The sequence below is a fragment of the Homo sapiens genome, chromosome 5 (genome assembly GCF_000001405.40).
Source record: "Homo sapiens chromosome 5, GRCh38.p14 Primary Assembly".
NCBI classification, from domain to species: domain Eukaryota; kingdom Metazoa; phylum Chordata; class Mammalia; order Primates; family Hominidae; genus Homo; species Homo sapiens.
The window spans coordinates 179,882,276-179,900,006 of record NC_000005.10 but is presented as its reverse complement, the minus strand read 5'-3'; the positions used below and the strand labels follow the sequence as shown (position 1 = coordinate 179,900,006).

The following is a 17,731-nucleotide window of genomic DNA, read 5'->3' as shown; positions in this document are numbered from 1 at the left end:
CCTCCTGCCTCAGCCTCCCAAAGTGCTGGGATTACAGGCATGAGACACGGCGCCCAGATTTTCTCTACATTTTTTTTAATTTCCGTTGGGCCTATGGAGGACAGGGACCCCCTCCCTCCTAGGTGGGGCAGACACAAGGTAAGAAGGTGGCCAGGAGAAACTGAAGAGAGGGACAGTAGCTACTCGCCTGCCCAGCAGGAGCCTCGCTGGCCAGGGGCCTGGAGTCTTGTAGGAAGCTCCGGCTGCTTATCTGTGGATACCTAGATGCTCAGGAAAGAGCTGGACTCATTTATACAAAGTATGACTGTGTCTGATTAATCACCTACATAGCAAAAGCCACATTAAGTTCTTTCAACTTGAGGAAAAGTGTAAGTTAGCAAGCTTGCAGGCACACAGACTATTTCTAGGACACATAGGAGACTTAGTGACTCTCCCTGTTGGCTTCAGGGACAGGTGGAAACATTCTCTCCCACACGACTGTGATTCAGCCTGGACGTTTAATTTTTTGTTTTTTTACCAGGACCATTTATTACTTTGTTATGCACATATCCATCAGCTTAAGAGGGAAAAGCAGCTTGAAGATTCTGGTCACTTAGATTTAGCAAATGAGGTCACCCACTTTCATCTCGCTTCTTTGAATGTGCGTTTAAGGCCTGGGGAATTCATGATTTTTCTTTTACTTTACCAAACCTCTTCTAGGTTCTTCCCGCAAAGAGATCACAAAACACTGGGAATGGCTGGAAAATAACTTGCTCCAGACACTGTCCATCTTCGACAGTGAGGAAGATATCACCACCTTCGTCAAGGGCAAGATACACGTAAGGTTTACCCGCCACTCTCTGTTCTCACCCTTCCCTGGCCAGCAGTGTTCTCGTGTATTATCCTATTTCATCTTCACGATGTAGGGTGCGTCCCCATTTTACAAAGGTGGAGACTGAAGTGTCAGCGCTCCTTCTCTTGGAGTTGAAAGGGGCAGAGGAACTCGTGACCCAGGAAAACCCCTTCTTACCCTGGGTGGGCACTGGAGGCTGCTGAAGCCTAGTGCGGGGCTTCCATTCCTACCCAAGTGCCTTGGAAGGCGTACGCAGATAGACGGTTCTGTTTGCCAGAAGAGATGCTGGAAACAATTGGATATTTTGAGTTGTTTTTTATAATAAAACTAACGTTATTTTAAAAGACACATGCCCTTTACCCAAAAATTCCATTCTTGGCGTTTACCCTACAGTGTATTCATATATGCAGAATATACAGTTTAAAGGGCCAGGTGTGGTGGCCCACACCTATAATCCCAGCACTATGGGAGGCCGAGGTGGGTGGATCATCTGAGGTCAGGAGTTCAAGAGCAGCCTGGCCAACGTGGCAAAACCCCATCTCTACTAAAAATACAAAAATTAGCCAGGCATGGTGGCACGCGCCTGTAATCCCAGCTACTCAAGAGGCTGAGACAGGAGAATTGCTTGAACCCAGGAGGCCGAGGTTGCAGTGAGCTGAGATCGTGCCACTGCACACCAGCCTAGGTGACAGAGTGAGACTCCATCTCAATTAAAAAAAAAAGGCCAGGTGCGGTGGCTCAGGCCTGTAATCCCAGCACTTTGGGAGGCCAAGACAGGCAGATCACGAGGTTAGGAGATCGCGACCATCCTGGCTAACACAGTGAAACCCTGTCTCTACTAAAAATACAAAAAAAATTAGCCGGGCGTGGTGGTGGGCACCTGTAGTTCCAGCTAATCGGGAGGCTGAGGCAGGAGAATGGCATAAACCCGGGAAGCAGAGTTTGCAGTGAGCCAAGATGATGCCACTGCACTCCAGCCCAGGCGACAGAATGAGACTTCGTCTCAAAAAAAAAAAAAAAAAGTAGAGATGGGGTTTTGCCATGTTGGCCAGGCTAGTCTCAAACTCCTGACCTTAAGTGATCCACCCACCTTGGCCTCCCAAAGTTATGGGATTACAGGCATCAGCCACCGCACCTGGCCTGAATGTATATGTCTTTTTCTTTCTGTTAGGTTATTGCCTTAAGTTAGATTCATGGGAGGGCTCTTACCAGGTCAAAGTCGTGTGGTGCAAAGTTGCTTTGGGCAGGCCCATGTGAATTCCTGATACCAGAACTTCCTAAGCCTGGACAGACATTACCAGCTTTCTCAGCTCTTCTCAGTGCACTTTGGGGTTCAAGGTGAGACCTGGTTACCTCTATCTCCAGGAAAACAGGTGGAGAGAGCAGAAGCAAGCCTTTACTCTGGTGAGCAATTGGGCGATGATAATAATAGTAGTTGTGACATTATTCACTGCCTCCTATATGCCAGGCCCAACAAACGCATCAGCAGAACAAACCAAATGACTCATAGGCCAAGGAAGAAATGGAAATTAGAAAATATTTAGAATTGAGGCCAGGTGTGGTGGCTCACACCTGTAATCCCAGCACTCTGGGAGGCCAAGACGGGCGGATCACTTGAGGTCAGGAGATCAAGGCCAGCCATCCTTTGCCAACATGGCAAAACCCTGTCTCTACTAAAAATATTTAAAAAGTAGCTGGGCGTGGTGGCATGGGCCTGTAGTCCCAGCTACTCGGAATGGAAGACTGAGGCAGGAGAATCACTTGGACTTAGGAGGCAGAGGTTGCAGTGAGCTGAGATCACACCACTGCACTCCAGCCTGGGCAACAGAGCGAGACTCCATCTCAAAAAAAAAAAAAAGAAAAGAAAATGATTGAAATACTACTGCATGTCAGGATGTGTGGGATGCAGTGAGAGCAATACACAGAAGGAAATTTAAAGCCTTCAGTCTTACAAAAGAAGGAAGGATGGGCCAGGCGCAGTGGCTTATGCCTGTAATCCCAGCACTTTTGGAGGCCGAGGCGGGCGGATCACGAGGTCAGGAGATCGAGACCATCCTGGCTAACACAGTGAAACCCCATCTCTACTAAAAATACAAAAAAATTAGCCGGGCATGGTGGCGGGGGCCTGTAGTCCCAGCTACTCGGGAGGCTGAGGCAGGAGAATGGCATGAACCTGGGAGGCGGAGGTTGCAGTGAGCCGAGATCATGCCACTGCCCTCCAGCCTGGGCAACAGAGCGAGACTCCGTCTCAAAATACGCTGTGAGGAGCATCTTTAAAAAAGCAAAACTCTAAAGAGAGAGGATGACAAAACAGCCTTAAACCAGTACCTTTAAGAATTTAGACAAAATGGGGCTGGGCGTGGTGTCTCACACCCGTAATCCTAGCACTTTGGGAGGCTAAGGCAGGTGGATCACTTGAGGCCAGGAGTTTAAGACCAGCCTGGCCAACATGGCAAAACCTTGTCTCTACTAAAAATATAAAAAATTAGCTGGGCATGGTGTCGCGCACCTGTAATCCCACCTATTTGGGAGGCTGAGGCACAAGAATTGCTTGAACCCGGGAGGCAGAGGTTGCAGTGAGCCAAGATTGCGCCACAGCATTCCAGCCTGGGCAATAGAGTGAGACCCTGTCTAAAAAAAAAAGAATTTAGACAAAATGGGCACTTTATTAGAATAACATTTATTAATTTCCAGTTGCTTCTGCAACAAATTACCATCAACTTAGTGGCTTAAAAGAACACCAGTTTGGCTAGGCGCGGTGGCTCACACCTGTAATCCCAGCACTTTGGAGAGAGATGTTTAGATCGCAGCTGCGGTAGCACTGGTATAAGAGAAGAAAAACCCTTTTCCTTCTCCCCATTTAGGTTCTTGGCTGGGGCTCTGTTACAAAAGGCAGATTAACAAGACAAAAACAGAAGTTTACTAATGTGTGTATCTCATATATTCATGGGAGAAACTTGGATAGGTGACTCAAAAGTTTAGTTGGAATTGGGTTTACACAGCCTCTTAACACAGGGACAGGCCACTTAAAGAACAATAACAGGACAGACGAAAACAGCTTATGCTTCCAAGGGCAGGAAACTGTGAGAAGATAAATACGTGGGATGAAACCGATGGAGTAAGGTTTGTTTGCAGATGCGTGCGGTGTCATCTCTGGGCTGATAGGAATCTAGAATTGTCTCCAATAAAGGAGAACGTATATCCAGCTTTTAGGCAGAAAGGGGGAGGGAGGGCAGAAAGAGCTTTTCCTGTGTTTGCTGCTACTTAATTGCCTTCAGCTCAAAATACTTCTTATGTCAAAAGGGCATATTTTGGGATGGCATATTGTAGTTTCCTTCCCTGGCTACTCAGAAATAGAAGAAATCAGAACAGATCCCACCTTTCAGTCCTCACCTAGGCTCATGGCTGTCCTCACTGCCCATGGACAGAGGGATCGGGGGTGGCCCAGCCACCAGCACTGACCTTGACTGACTAGTTTATCTTGTAATTGTCTTTCTAGAAAATCAATGTGTACATTTTGAGCTGAGGGCACTGCTGAGGACCTGTTTTACCCCAGGAGGCTTGGGGCTGGCTCTGTGGCCCAGGGGGATGTCTCTGGGCACCCTGAGCCCTGTAACAATGCCAGCAGCATGAGGGAGTATGGACGGGCCCTGAAACTGCAGGTCCTGCCGCTGGTTTGTGTGCAGGGCCAAGAGGCAGGAGCCCCCTGGCATACAGGGGGCCAAGTGCAGGACGTCCTCCAGGATGTGATAAGAGAAGCGCTTTACAGAACAGAGCTGCAGGGTGATCCCATTTGGGCAAATAAAGGGGGAAAGAGGAAAACATACATTTGCTTATGAATCCATTGGTGTTTGCATGTCTGGAAGGAACCAGGAAAGTCACTACAGAGAGCGAGAAAAGATTCCCTTTTCACTGAATACACATTTCTACTGTATGCATTTTTTACCATGTTTATGGATAATGTTTCAACAATTTTACATGAAAATAACTGAAATATTCATTTTAAAAGTGTCAGGCCAGACACAGTGGTTCACACCTGTAATCCCAGCACTTTGGGAGGCTGAGGCGGGCGGATCACTTGAGCCCAGGAGTTTGAGACCAGCCTGGGCAACATGGCAAAACCCCATTTCTACAAAAAGTACAAAATTAGCCAGGTGTGGTGGAGTACACCTATAGTCCCAACTACTTGGGAGGCTGAGGCAGGAGGATGGCTTCAGCTGTTGGGTTGAGGCTACAGTGAGCCGTGGTTGAGCCACTGCACTCCAGCTTGGGTGACAGAGTGAGACCCTGTCTTAATTTTTTTAAAAAGCCTCTGCTCACAACTGGTGATGACAGTAGTTACGGGAGTTGCAGGAACTTTGTCTAGAGAGTCACACAGGCAGCGTCTCTCATCCATGTGCCTTGACTGCAAGCCAGCAAGAGCCACTGACTGTTCCCAGCTGTGCCTGTAGCCCTTAGACCAAGGTCCATGAGTCCTGGGTTCCCTGGGCCTCTCTGCTCCACCCTTTGACCTGTCCGGGACTGTGCAGGGCAAGCCCTTGTCCTCTTGCCTTCCTCCAGGGAATCATCGCAGAAGAGAACAAGAACCTGCAGCCCCAGGGAGACGAGGACCCCGGGAAGTTCAAGGAGGCTGAGCTGAAGATGCGGAAGCAGTTTGGGATGCCTGAGGGCGAGAAGCTGGTGAATTACTACTCCTGCAGCTACTGGAAGGGCCGCGTGCCCCGGCAGGGCTGGCTGTACCTGACGGTCAACCACCTGTGCTTCTACTCCTTCCTGCTGGGGAAGGAAGGTGAGCCCGCCCCTCAGTGTGCCCCAGCCCCCACACCCTCAGCCCCTCCCTGCCTTCGGCCCCCAGATACTCCATCCCCACATGGCCACCAGAGGGGTCTCCCTGAAACCCAAATGCCACCTTAGCGGCCCAAGATGGGACTGTCCGGCCTTGGCCAGGCGTACACCTGCTCCCAGCCGACTTTTACCATGCCCCCCACTCGCTAGTAGGGTTCTCTACATGGTGACTCCGCGTGCCTGCCCTGCCCTCTTCTGCTGAACTGGCGTATTCAGGCACACGTCTGTCCCAAATTCCTGGTGATTCCATGTCATGCAATGCCTTGGGTGCGTGCCACAGCCCTCATCTGCTGCAGGTTCCTCCCTACAGACATCCCGGCCACAGGATGCGAGCCTGATTTCCCAGCAGCTCCAGAAAGAGCCCCAGGGTCTTAGCCATCCCCAAGCCCACCAAGCCCTCCTCCCTCCTTGCCTCCCTCAGCCCACAGCCTCCCTGTGCCCCCTCCTGCCCTTGCCGCTTACCTGTCACGACCAGGTGGCCAGTCACCTCCCGTCAGCAGGGGCTGTGTCCTGTTCTGTGTTGGCCGCGCTGTGCTGTGACTGTTCACACCTCCGTGCGCTCCCACTTGGGGGAGCTGCTGGGTGGGTCTCGGTGGTTCACCTCCGCACGTTCGTTCCTTTCCCCTTCAGCCACTGGTGGGGGAGACACTCACCGTGTGTGGTTGGTCTGGAAGGCAGTGGACACCTCAGTGGCCTGGTCCCTCCACATGGAGGGCGTGACACAGCCCAGACAGGCCTGGGCACACAGGAAGTGCTGCCCCCAGAGAGCAGTTCCCTGGGATGGGTCTGGGGTACAGATGGGCATCAGGAGCCTCGCCCTGCCAGGCCCTAACTTGCGGTGTGTCTATCTCTGTGGGCACAGTGAGCCTCGTGGTGCAGTGGGTGGACATAACGCGTCTGGAGAAGAACGCCACCCTGCTCTTCCCCGAGAGCATCCGTGTGGACACCCGCGACCAGGAGCTCTTCTTCTCCATGTTCCTCAACATCGGCGAGACCTTCAAGCTCATGGAGCAGTTGGCCAACCTGGCCATGCGGCAGCTGCTGGACAGCGAGGGCTTCCTGGAGGACAAGGCCCTGCCTAGGCCCATCCGGCCACACAGGAACATCTCAGCCCTGAAGCGGTGCGTTGCCCTCCAGGGCTGGGGTGGGCTCATGTGAGCCAGGTTCGCTGACCTTGGCTGGGACCTGCCTGGTCCAAGTGTGTAGACCTGGAGAAGGTGTCCACATTCACCCCTCATGGGCTCCCCACTTGGGAAGGAAGCCAGGTAAACAGATCATTGCAGTCCCGTGTGGAGAGGCAGCAGGAGATAGCAGTGATGTCCTGAGGATACCACTAATGGGGAGGAAGCTCTTCACACTTTATTCCTCTTGGCCCTATGATGGGAAGGGGCTCTTACCATCCCTAGGTATCAGACAAGGAAGCTGAGGCACAGAGAGGTTAAGTAACTTGCCTGAAGTCCCTCGGTTAGTGAGCAGTGGAGCCAGGATGTAGCCACCTCAGCCAGGGTGTTCTGACACCCCCAGAAAGGCTTTGGTAAATCTGGGCTCAAGTGCACGGCCTCCGTCCCACCGTGATTGACAGCTCTCCTGTATACCCTGAGACTCCTTGGCCAGAGGCCTCTCACAGCCATGGGACCCCCAGGGGTCCTGAGTTTGACGTGGAAGCAGACCTCTGGGTCTGAAGCCAGCCAAGGAGATGGGCCATGTGTGGGTCTGAGTTCCCTGCTGCCCTGTCCAGGGGACCGATAGGCAGGAACACATCATAGCAGCCAGCCCTCCCGGGCTACTTAACGTTTGGGTTCCTAGGTTGTAGCTTATGGGAAACTCCAGAGGCTGGACAAGATCTCTGAGGTTCCCTGGGTCCCACAGCCAGCCTGACCACAGCCAGATTCACACCCTTGTGTTGAGCGACCTCATTCCAGCCAGGCCATTTCCTGCATTGCACCCACAGACTGTGGTCCAGGCCCAAACTCTGGGGTCCACCTCCAGGACCAGAAAATTGTGCAAGCATGTTGTCCTTGGGATGCAAGTGACAGGTTGGCTTGTTGGACCTTTTGGAAAGAACACGAGCAGAGATGGAACATGACTGCTCCTGGCACTGCCGGTGAGAATGCAGTCAGGCCCTGGTCAGGCCACTGCGGCCCAGGGCAGGCAGGAGGCTCCCTTTGGGGCTGGGAGAGTTTATGTGGACAGAGCCACCAAAGGGGTGAGGGCCTGGGCCAGGCCACTGTCACAGCCATCAGATACACAGGTGTGCATTTCTGTTAGCAGCCGCATGCTTTAGTTTAAGCTCCACACCTCCCTGTGGGGAGCTCCTCACCTAGGTTTCAAGGTGAAACCTGGGGTTAGGCCTGCCCAGGGTGGAAGAGCTGCCCGGGGCCCTCCATCTGAGTGGGATCCAGGGCAGGTGCTCTGGGCTCTGCTTGCCCATCAGTACCGAGGGATGGGTTGCACATTGCCCAGGCCAGCATCTAGGTGTGTCCTTTTCAAAGCAGTCTCAGGACACATTGCTTGCTGGCCACTTCTCCGCTGGTTATGTGACTGTCTCACCTTCTGCCTGCTCACTCAGCATGCATCTTTTATTGAACTCTGAGGTCCCTGAGCATGACTTGCTCAAGGGACCACCCCAGGGATCCTGAATCTGATGTGGAAACAGGCCTGGGGAGGCCCCAAGGCTTCCTTGAGAGTGTGCTGGTCCTGACCTTGTCCCCTTTCCTCCTGTCCTCCTACCTTGTTTCCCCAGAGACCTGGACGCCCGAGCCAAGAATGAGTGCTACCGAGCCACGTTCCGGCTGCCCAGGGATGAGCGGCTAGACGGCCACACAAGCTGCACCCTGTGGACGCCGTTCAACAAGCTGCACATCCCTGGCCAGATGTTCATCTCCAACAACTACATCTGCTTCGCCAGCAAGGAGGAGGACGCTTGCCACCTCATCATACCCCTGAGGGAGGTCAGCATCCCCTAGTTGAGAGGCCAAGGCCTTTCCAGCCCCGAGGTGTCAGTGGGCTCAGGGACCAGCCTGTCCTGCTCTGCCCTGTCTCACTGGGGGGTACCTGGGAGGATGCCCTAGCCCAGGCAGTCACATGTCACTCAGTGATGGGACAGGTGGAGGGTGTAGGACAAGTGAGCCCCTCCACAGGCACCTGCCCTGTTGGGGAGGCAGGTAACATGGTGGGGGCACACTGCTTGCCCTCTCAGGTCACTTGCCTAGTGGAGACAGGGTCTCCCACGCGTGAGTTTCCATCAGGCCTGCCTTCTGGGCCCTGCAGGGCAAAGTGCTGCTCCGTGGCTGCGCTTAGAGGACCGTGTTCCTGCACCGGTCCCATATGTCACTCTCAGAGGCCACCTCACCAGTCCTCTCTGGACATACCACCTTGGCGTGGCTCGGCTCCAGCAGGCCATCAGAGGTCGGCTCTCCCCTGTGGGGCGGCGTCGGCTCTCCCCTGTGAGGCTGCATTGGCTCTCACTTGCTCCTTCTTGGGTTTCTTGGACTTCCACAGTGACCCTGGTGGGAGCAAGGCCATCTGTCCTGCACTGCACCGAAGGGGTGTGGACAGCAAGGACAAGGGCCCTTGCCCAAATAGAAGGCATGAGACTGAGTCAGGACAGGTCCCAAGGCCTCCTTTTCCTTGTGGCCAAGCAGGGCTCTGACTGTTTAATTATAAGAAGAATCAAGTGAGATTCTTAACTTAAAGACCTCCCTGCCATTTGCACAAATCCCTCAAGTTGCAGATGTAGCTGAGAATAGGTGTGGGAGAGTTGCTGCCTCAGTTTCCCCAAGGGAAGTCAGAGGGAAGGAACTCAGAAGAGCCACAGCTCCAAAAGCTCCAGGTTAAGAGGCTCAGGTGTGACCCGAACCCCACATTCTGTTAGCACCAGGGCCCTGTGGATCTGTCCGGGGCACTGTACTGACCTGTCCCCCAGGCCTAGGGGTCTTCCTGACACCTGAGGCTCCGTTTGGATTTCTCCTGCCGGGCCCTTGACATCTCAGATGGTAGAGAGCCCTGGCGGAGCTCGGGGAGCAGGACTAGCTCACACTGGAGGACTGAGTGTGCTCTGGTGATGGAACTCTGCAGCTGGTCAGGGTGGGGGCCGCCTGCCCAGCCAGCGCTGACCCCTCAACACACCTGCTCCTCCACGTTCCAGCCTGCAGGCTTTTGCGCACGCAGCTCACTCTGCTGTGGGTGTAGTGGACTCTTGAATTTCACTCCCAACCACCCGCTTCCATGCTTCCCTCGGGAAGTGACCCCTCTTCCACCCTTTGCCCAGGTAAAAGCCACGTATCGGCCTAGATTCCGACCTCTCCCTCCTCCCTACAGCATGTCTTGCCAGCTCACCCCGCAGAGCTCAGCCCTTCCTCTCCACGGACACCACCTAAGACACCATCATCTGCTTTAGCCACTCCCTAACCACACTGAACCCCAACCCCCGCCTTTTTTTTTTTTTTTTTTTTTTTTGAGACAGGGTCTCACTCTTGCCTGGGCAGGAGTGCAGTGGTGTGATCATGGCTCACTACAGCCTCCATCTCCCGGACTTAAGTGATTCTCCCACCTCAACTTCCCGAGTAGCTGGGACAGCAGATGCTTGCCACCACACCTAGCTGTTTTTTTTAAATTTTTAACAGAGACAGGGATTCATCATGTTGCCCAGGCTGGTCTCAAACTTCAGGATTCAAGTGATCCTCCCTCAGCCGTCCAAAGTGCTGGGATTACAGGCCTGAGCCGCCACACCCGGCCTAACACACTTAGCCCCTTTATGGCGTATCCTCCCACAGCAACCAGCAAAATTCGAAATGTCAGTGGGAGCATGTTGGCACCCTGCTTAGAGTCCTCTAGAGTCTTCTCCCACCTGCCTCCTATGACCTGTGAGACCTTCTGTGCGCCTCTCCCACCTGCCTCCTGTGACCTGTGAGGCCTTCTGTGCGCCTCTCCCCCTCTCAGACCTGCGCCCAGGCACACCCCATGGATATGTTCACACACAGACATAAAAAGTGCACACTCAGACTGGGCGCGGTGGCTCACGCCTGTAATCCCAGCACTTTGGGAGGCTGAGGCGGGTGGGTCACGAGGTCAGGAGATCGAGACCATCCTGGCTAACATGGTGAAACCCGTCTCTACTAAAAATACAAAAAATTAGCCGGGCGTGGTGGTGGGCACCTGTGGTCCCAGCTACTTGGGAGGCTGAGGCAGGAGAATGGCGTGAACCCGGGAGGCAGAGCTTGCAGTGAGCTGAGATCGCACCACTGCACTCCAGCCTGGGCGACAGCGAGACTCCGTCTCAAAAAAAAAAAAAGTGCACACTCACCTCCACCACTGCCCAGCTCACACTGTCCTGGCTTCTCTGGCCTTCTCTTCCTCCCTCAGGCAGTCCTACTCCCCTCTGCAGGGTGACTGCTGTGCCCCCACCCATCTCTTCCCCAGCACTCACCTGGCTGGACCAGGTCTCAGCTCAGTGGCCGCCTCCCCTGGGACCACCCAGCCTTCCCTCTTCCCAGCACTCACCCCTGCTGACTGTGCTCAGCTGGTGCATCCCTCGTCCGTCTCCCTGCCAGGCCTTGGGCTCTGCAGAGGTGCCCACTGAAAGCTTGTCCTGTGCCCTCTACACCTCAGAGGGGTTCAGAGCCAAGCTCCAGGACCCCTGCTGTCAAAAAGTGTTCCCTGGGAACAAGTGCAGGGAACAGTCCTGCAAGCAAGGGACTGCTTGCCCTGCTTTCGGACAGCCTTCTGAGAGCCAGTGAAGGCCAGCAGCTGGGCTGAACACTACATCATCCTCAGAACCACCCTGCACAGCCGGTGTGCTCCCCGCCATCGACAGGAAAAACGGGCCCTTAGAGGCACAGGCAACTTGCTCGGGGTTAGGTGCAGCGGGTGGCAGAGTCAGAATGTGAGGACAGTTGGGCCACTCACTGCATTGTGCCCAGGAGAGGACAGCTGCATGACAGTCTGCCATTCACAAAGCATGCCCAGCTGCAGGGCCTGAGATGCAGACACCCAAAAGAGTTCTTTCACCTTCTCAGGTGACCATTGTCGAAAAAGCTGACAGCTCCAGCGTGCTGCCCAGCCCCCTGTCCATCAGCACCAAAAGCAAAATGACATTCCTGTTTGCCAACCTGAAAGACCGTGATTTCTTGGTGCAGAGGATCTCTGACTTCCTCCAGAAAACACCATCCAAGCAGCCAGGCAGTATCGGGAGCAGGAAAGCCAGTGTTGTGGACCCTAGCACAGAGGTGAGAAGCCCCTTGGGAGCAGCAGGGTCGAGTTGGGCCCAGGAAGAGCCAGGGCATCCATCAGCCTCCCCGCTGGAGCCTGACCCCATGGTTCCGGCTGTGGGCCTCCGCCTAGGGGTGGATGTGTCAGAGCTGGCAAGAGACCCCTAGCCCAGACCCACACTGCCCAGCAACATCACAGCCTCTCTGCACCCCCAGCCACACACCCGGTACTCCTCACTCCTGCTGGGCCCATTGCCCATGAGGAACCTTCTCTGGCTGTCCTTTCTGCATTGCTGCTGCACTCAGAGCAAAGCCACACTGTGGAGGCCTGTACACTTCGGCTTTGTTCCCATGACCTTCCCTGCCAGGCGTTCAGGCTGAAGTTCTTGACGGTAGAACTGCAGTATCACTATTGTACCAGCAAACTTAACAAGAATTCCTTAATATCACCAAATATTGTATTCACACTTCCCCGTGTGCAAGTGTACTTTTCACGGTTTGATTATTTGAACTGAGGCAGACGAAAGTCACACATGTCACTCTTGGTTGATAGGTCTCTTAAATCTGTTTAATCTACGGGCTTCTGCTCCACCTAGCTCTCGTTTATTCTTCCACAATATTTTTTTGAAGGAATCGGTCACTTGTGCCATAGAGTCTCTCATCGTCTGGTTTTGCTGATTGCATCCGCTGCAGGCGTTTAGCAAGCTCCTGTGTCTCTTGTTTAAGTTGGTTGAGCGGTGAGACCGAGAGCCGTGATCACATTCAGGCTCAGCTGATTTTGGTTCTGGCAGGTCCGCCTGTGGGCAGGCTTGAGGTGCTGTTTATTCCCAACAAGAGATGTCTGGCAACCAGCCACCTCTCTATGCTACTGTCAGTCATTGAGAATATGCCTGGATCCAGCGGCCAGTGGCCAGCGGCATGCTCATTCCATTCCTCCTTTCGTCTGGGAGCTGAAATTCTCCCAAAGAGGGAAGCTGACCCCAGGCACAGTTCATAGAGGAAAGGTGGAATACATGTTTTACTCTTTCCTCTTACTCACCAGTTGTCAAAATAATGATGAGTTGGTTTTCTAGTGTCTTCCACATGTGACCAGTGAGTTTTTTGGTTTACTTTTTATTGTAATTATGAACGTATGGATTTAAGCAACTTGATGTGTGTCTTTCCACTGGAATCACTATGCTTATTCTGTCTGTGGCCAGAGGGGCTCATCTGGTCTAGCCCTGAGAGTCCCTGGGCACGACACTGGTCGTCTTTGATTCCTTGCTTTCTGGTGTGACAAGATGGATGTGCTGCTGCTGTCGTTGAGTCTGAATTTGCAAAAACATTTGGCCATTAGAAGAGTCCATATGCAAATTCACAGATCCAGCTTCTCTAGAAAAGTCAGTGCCCAGCCCTAAAGGCCCCATCCCATTGGGCAGCGGGCGTGGGAGCTGGGGCTGTGCGTGTCCTCCATGCTCTAGAGCCGTGTGTGGTCTGGCCCAGGCAGACCTTTACATTGTCTGCCCCAGTAATAGATGCTAAATAAATTACTACGTCAGTGAGCGCATGGGAAGGGGTGGGCGGAATCAATGTGGATTGCAGACATGAAGAAAGGTGTGGAGAAGGTTGGGCTTCATCTGGGATTTCAAGAAAGAGTGAAGTTGGATTGAGTGGCAGGGGCAGTGAACAGGGTGGTCGAGCCTCCTCTGCCTCCATGAGGCCCCACACTTCCTGAAAGCTGAGTAAGCACCACTCACGGCCCCTCCCAGGCACTCGGCTTCATGCATCCAAACACATTTTATTGCATTCCTGTTAGGTGCCAGCTGCTATTCTAGGCCCCAGGAGTAGAACAGTGAACACATCGGACAGAGTGCCTGTTCACTTAGAGCTGTATTCCAGTGAGGGAGGCAGTAAGCAAATAAACATACAATATGTCAGGCAGTGATAAGGGCTGTGGGTAGAAATAAAGCAGGATGAGGGGATCAGGAGTGCCAGGGGAAAGAAGGGGGCTCCATTTTCTCTCTGTTGCTCATGGGCAACCTCTCTGATCAGGCAGCACTGGAGGAGAAACTCGAAAGAAGCAGGGGAACTAGCCATAGCCTGTCTGGGGCAGGGTGTTGGAGGCAGAGAGCACAGCAAGCTGGGAGACAGGATTGGATGTGGCACGGGCTTCTGGGACCAGGGCTTAGGAGACTGACCAGGTGTAGGAGGTGAGACCAGAGAGGTGGCAGAAGGCCAAGTCACCGAAAGCCCGTAGGCCCTGTGAGTGCTGCAGCTTTGACTTCAGGTGAGAGGGGAAGCCAGTGAAGAGTCATGACCAGAGGAGGGCACGACCTGTTTACGTGTTAATGGGGTTACTGTGGCCGTCCATGTTGACAGTGGATTAGAGGTGCCCCGTCTAGTACAGCAGCCACGTGTGGCCATGGAGCACTGGAAATCCAGCGGGTGCCAATGGAAATGTGCTGTGAGTGTTCAGATCACTGTACACGGGTTTTGGAGACTTCGTATGAAAAGAAAAACGTAAAATACCTCCATCTTTTTTTTTTTGGGGGGGGGACAGAGTCTTGCTCTGTCACCTAGGCTGGAGTGCAGTGGGGCAGTCTTGGCTCACTGCATCCTCTGCCTCCCAGGTTCAAGTGATTCTCCTGCCTCAGCCTCCCGAGTAGCTGGGATTACAGGCGTCCACCACCACGCCCGGCTTATTTTGTATTTTTAGTAGAGACGGGTTTTTGCCATGTTGGCCAGTCTGGTCTTGAACTCCTGACCTCAGGCGATCCACCTGCCTCAGCCTCCCAAAGTGCTGGGATTACAGGGGTGAGCCACCGTGCCTGGCCACTCCATCATTTTTTAATTGATTCCTGTTGAAATGCGAGTATTTTGGATATATTGGATTAAGTCAAATATATTGTTAAAATTAATCTCAATAATTTACTTTAGGACTTTACAATGTGGCTACTAGAAAATTTACAATTACATTTGTGGCTCTCATCATCTCTCTTGGGCAGTGCTGGACTAGAGAGTGGCAAGAATAGAAGCAAGGAGGCCGGCTGGAGCCCATCACAGAAGCAGGGGCACAAGATGATGGAGTCGAGCATCAAGGGTAGGAACAGTGTAGGTGTAAGAAGGGGTCAGATTCAGGAGACGCTATTGTGATAAAATACACATAACAACATTTACCATTAAGTACATTGACATTGCTATGCCATCACCACCATCCATCCACAGAACTTTTTCAGTTTTGCAAAACTGAAACTCTGAACCCATTAAACAGTAACTCCTCAGCCCCCACTCCCCCAGCCCCTGGCAAGCACCATTCTACCTTTTTGACTTGAATTGAACTATTCTAGGTAATGCACATAAGTGGAAGCATATAGTATTTTCCCTTTTGTGCCTGGCTTATTTCATTCAGCGTGATGTCCTCCAGGTTCATCCCTGTTGTAGCGTGCTCAAGATTTCTTTTTTAAGGCTGAATCATATGCCATTGTATGGATAAGCCACGTTTTGTTCACTGTTGAAACTTGGACTGCTTCCACCTCATGGCTATTATGAGTAACACTGCTGTGAACATGGGTGTACAGATGTCTGTTTGAATCTTTACTTTCAGTTCTTTTGGGGACATACCCTGGAGTGGAATTGCTGGATTGTATAGCAGTTCTATTTTTAATATTTCAAGGAACCTCCGTGCTATGCTCTATCCACCAACTGTGCACCACAGTTGGAGGCCAGACCACCAACTGTGGCATGACTCTGTGCAGACACAGAGCCAGTAGCTGTGCTGAGGCAATGGCGGGAAGGAAGAGGGGCTCTGATAGTCCTAAGAGCCAAGGAATCCAGAAGTCACCAGAATACCCCTCACAAGAGACTACTCAGCAAATGGAAACCTCAACAAGTGAATCTGAGAGACAGCCAGTGAAATTGGGAGCCGATTTCTCAGGCTCCAGTTTATAGAGGAGGCTTTTTTTTATTAATGGAAGCACAAAATCCTGCTTTATTTCTACCCACAGCCTTATCGCTGCCTGACGTATTATACGGCTGAGGAAAGATCAAGAATGTGAGGGAAACCCATGCCCTTAACAAAAACTTCTCTTCTGAAAGACAAGAGCTCACCCCAAGAAAAAAAGGACTGGGATTGAACAGAGCAGGAACACTTGGGGTAAAGGAGAAAAGCTTTAGATACAAGAAAGAGGTGGCCAATCCCAGAAAGTACAGGAGCAAGGACTACACAGACCGACCACAGCAGGGGAAAGGCCTCTCCAGCTGTGGAGTTCAGAAAGCTACTCTGACCCACAACTGCCCGTACGTAGAACATCCTGCTGAAAGAACAGGAAAAGATGCTGATCACACCCTGTACAAAGATATTGCGGGGAGAAAGTGAACCAGATAACCTCCCACAGATAATGAAAGCACACCAGAAAAACATTCCTCCAGGCAGATGAAAACTGTGTCCTGATGTTTCTGAGTGATCTCAAAGGAATTAGAAAAACGACAGAAACTACTAAAGAATGGTATAAATTAAAAATGTTTAAAAAGCTCAGGTTAAAAGTGACTAGTCAACAGAAAAATATGAAGAGAGTTGACAGGACTCAGGAGGAAATAAGAAAAAAAAAACCAGATATTTCTGAAATGAAAATCAGGAACACAAGAATGAAAATACATTAAGGTAAATAAGGAAGAGATAGGAGAAAAATGGAGTCAGAGGAGACTCAAACAAATAGAGAAGAAGTTGTCCAGAGAAGGGATAAAGAAGTTAGGCAAAGAAGATCAAACTTACGTATAATCGTAGTGCCATCCCACACCCTTCCCAGAAAAAAGCAGTGGAATAACAGATAATAGAAACTGTGATTCAGGAAAACTGATAAAATAAGCTTGAACTTGTATAGTGGAAGGACACATTGAATGTCTAGAAAAATCAACACAAAATAGTCGATATTGACATAAAATCTCATAAAACTGTTCAATTTTAAAGATTAAAAAATTATTCCAGGCTGGGCACAGTGGCTCACACCTGTAATCCCAGCACTTTGGGAGGCTGAAGCAGGCAGATCACTTGAGGCCAGAAGTTCAAAACCAGCCTGGCCAACATGGTGAAACTCTGTCTCTACTAAAAATACAAAACTAAGCTAGGTATAGTGGCACATGCCTGGAATCACAGCTACTTGGGAGGCTGAGGCACAAGAATCACTTGAACCCAGGAGGTGGGAGAAGGAGGTTGCAATGGGCCACGATCCTGAGAGATTCCTCCTCAAGAGAGGTATCAGACTTTGTGATACAGTAACAACATTTTAGAGTAACTTTTTGTTGGGGGTTGGGGAGGGTGTCTCCTGGAGTGCAGTGGCACAATCTCGGCTCACTGCAACCTCTGCCTCCCAGGTTCAAGCAGTCTTGTGCCTCAGGCCCGTGAGTAGCTGGGACTACGTGTATGTGCCACCATGCCTGGCTAATTTTTGTATTTTTTGTAGAGATGGGGTTGAGATTTCACCATGTTGGCCAGACTGATCTCGAACTCCTGACCTAGGGTGATCCACCTGCCTCAGCCTCCCAGAGTGCTGAGATTATACAGAGTAACATTTTTAAGATATACAATAAAAGAAGCTGTGACCCAGGGATTTTATACCCAGCCAAACTGACGTTCAGGTATAAAGACCATAGGCTGTAAAGAACATGCAGAGGAGTTCAGGGGCTCTCTCAGCTTCTGTGGAGTCTGCTGGAGAACAGACTCCAGATAACCAAGGAGTGATGGAAGCAGCTTGGGCCTAACGACTGGTGGTAGCATTGATTATATTTAGCTGTGGAATTAAGGTTAGATAGTAGGAATAGAGGTGACAGTATATAAATGTTATAATCTCTGATGATGGAGACATAGTAC

General features: G+C 51.7%; 1 protein-coding gene across 2 annotated transcripts in view, besides 2 other annotated features; it reads left to right on the top strand.

Moving 5' to 3' along the window:
* TBC1D9B (TBC1 domain family member 9B) overlaps positions 1–17,731 on the top strand; it is a 45,827-nt gene that overhangs the window by 7,891 nt on the left and 20,205 nt on the right. For both annotated transcript variants that reach the window (NM_015043.4, NM_198868.3), the window contains exons 3-7: positions 700–818; positions 5,393–5,621; positions 6,540–6,798; positions 8,421–8,628; positions 11,695–11,904. In NM_015043.4, the coding sequence (NP_055858.2) occupies positions 700–818; positions 5,393–5,621; positions 6,540–6,798; positions 8,421–8,628; positions 11,695–11,904 (1,025 nt within the window). The remainder of the gene's footprint in view (positions 1–699; positions 819–5,392; positions 5,622–6,539; positions 6,799–8,420; positions 8,629–11,694; positions 11,905–17,731) is intronic.
* Positions 5,540–6,040: an enhancer, noted in NCBI's record as "H3K4me1 hESC enhancer chr5:179320967-179321467 (GRCh37/hg19 assembly coordinates)". NCBI's record gives its function as "activates a minimal SCP1, AML or CMV promoter by ChIP-STARR-seq in primed H9 embryonic stem cells {active_cell/tissue: H9 hESC(primed)}" and the evidence as "EXISTENCE:reporter gene assay evidence [ECO:0000049][PMID:30033119]".
* Positions 6,041–6,541: an enhancer, noted in NCBI's record as "H3K4me1 hESC enhancer chr5:179320466-179320966 (GRCh37/hg19 assembly coordinates)". NCBI's record gives its function as "activates a minimal SCP1, AML or CMV promoter by ChIP-STARR-seq in primed H9 embryonic stem cells {active_cell/tissue: H9 hESC(primed)}" and the evidence as "EXISTENCE:reporter gene assay evidence [ECO:0000049][PMID:30033119]".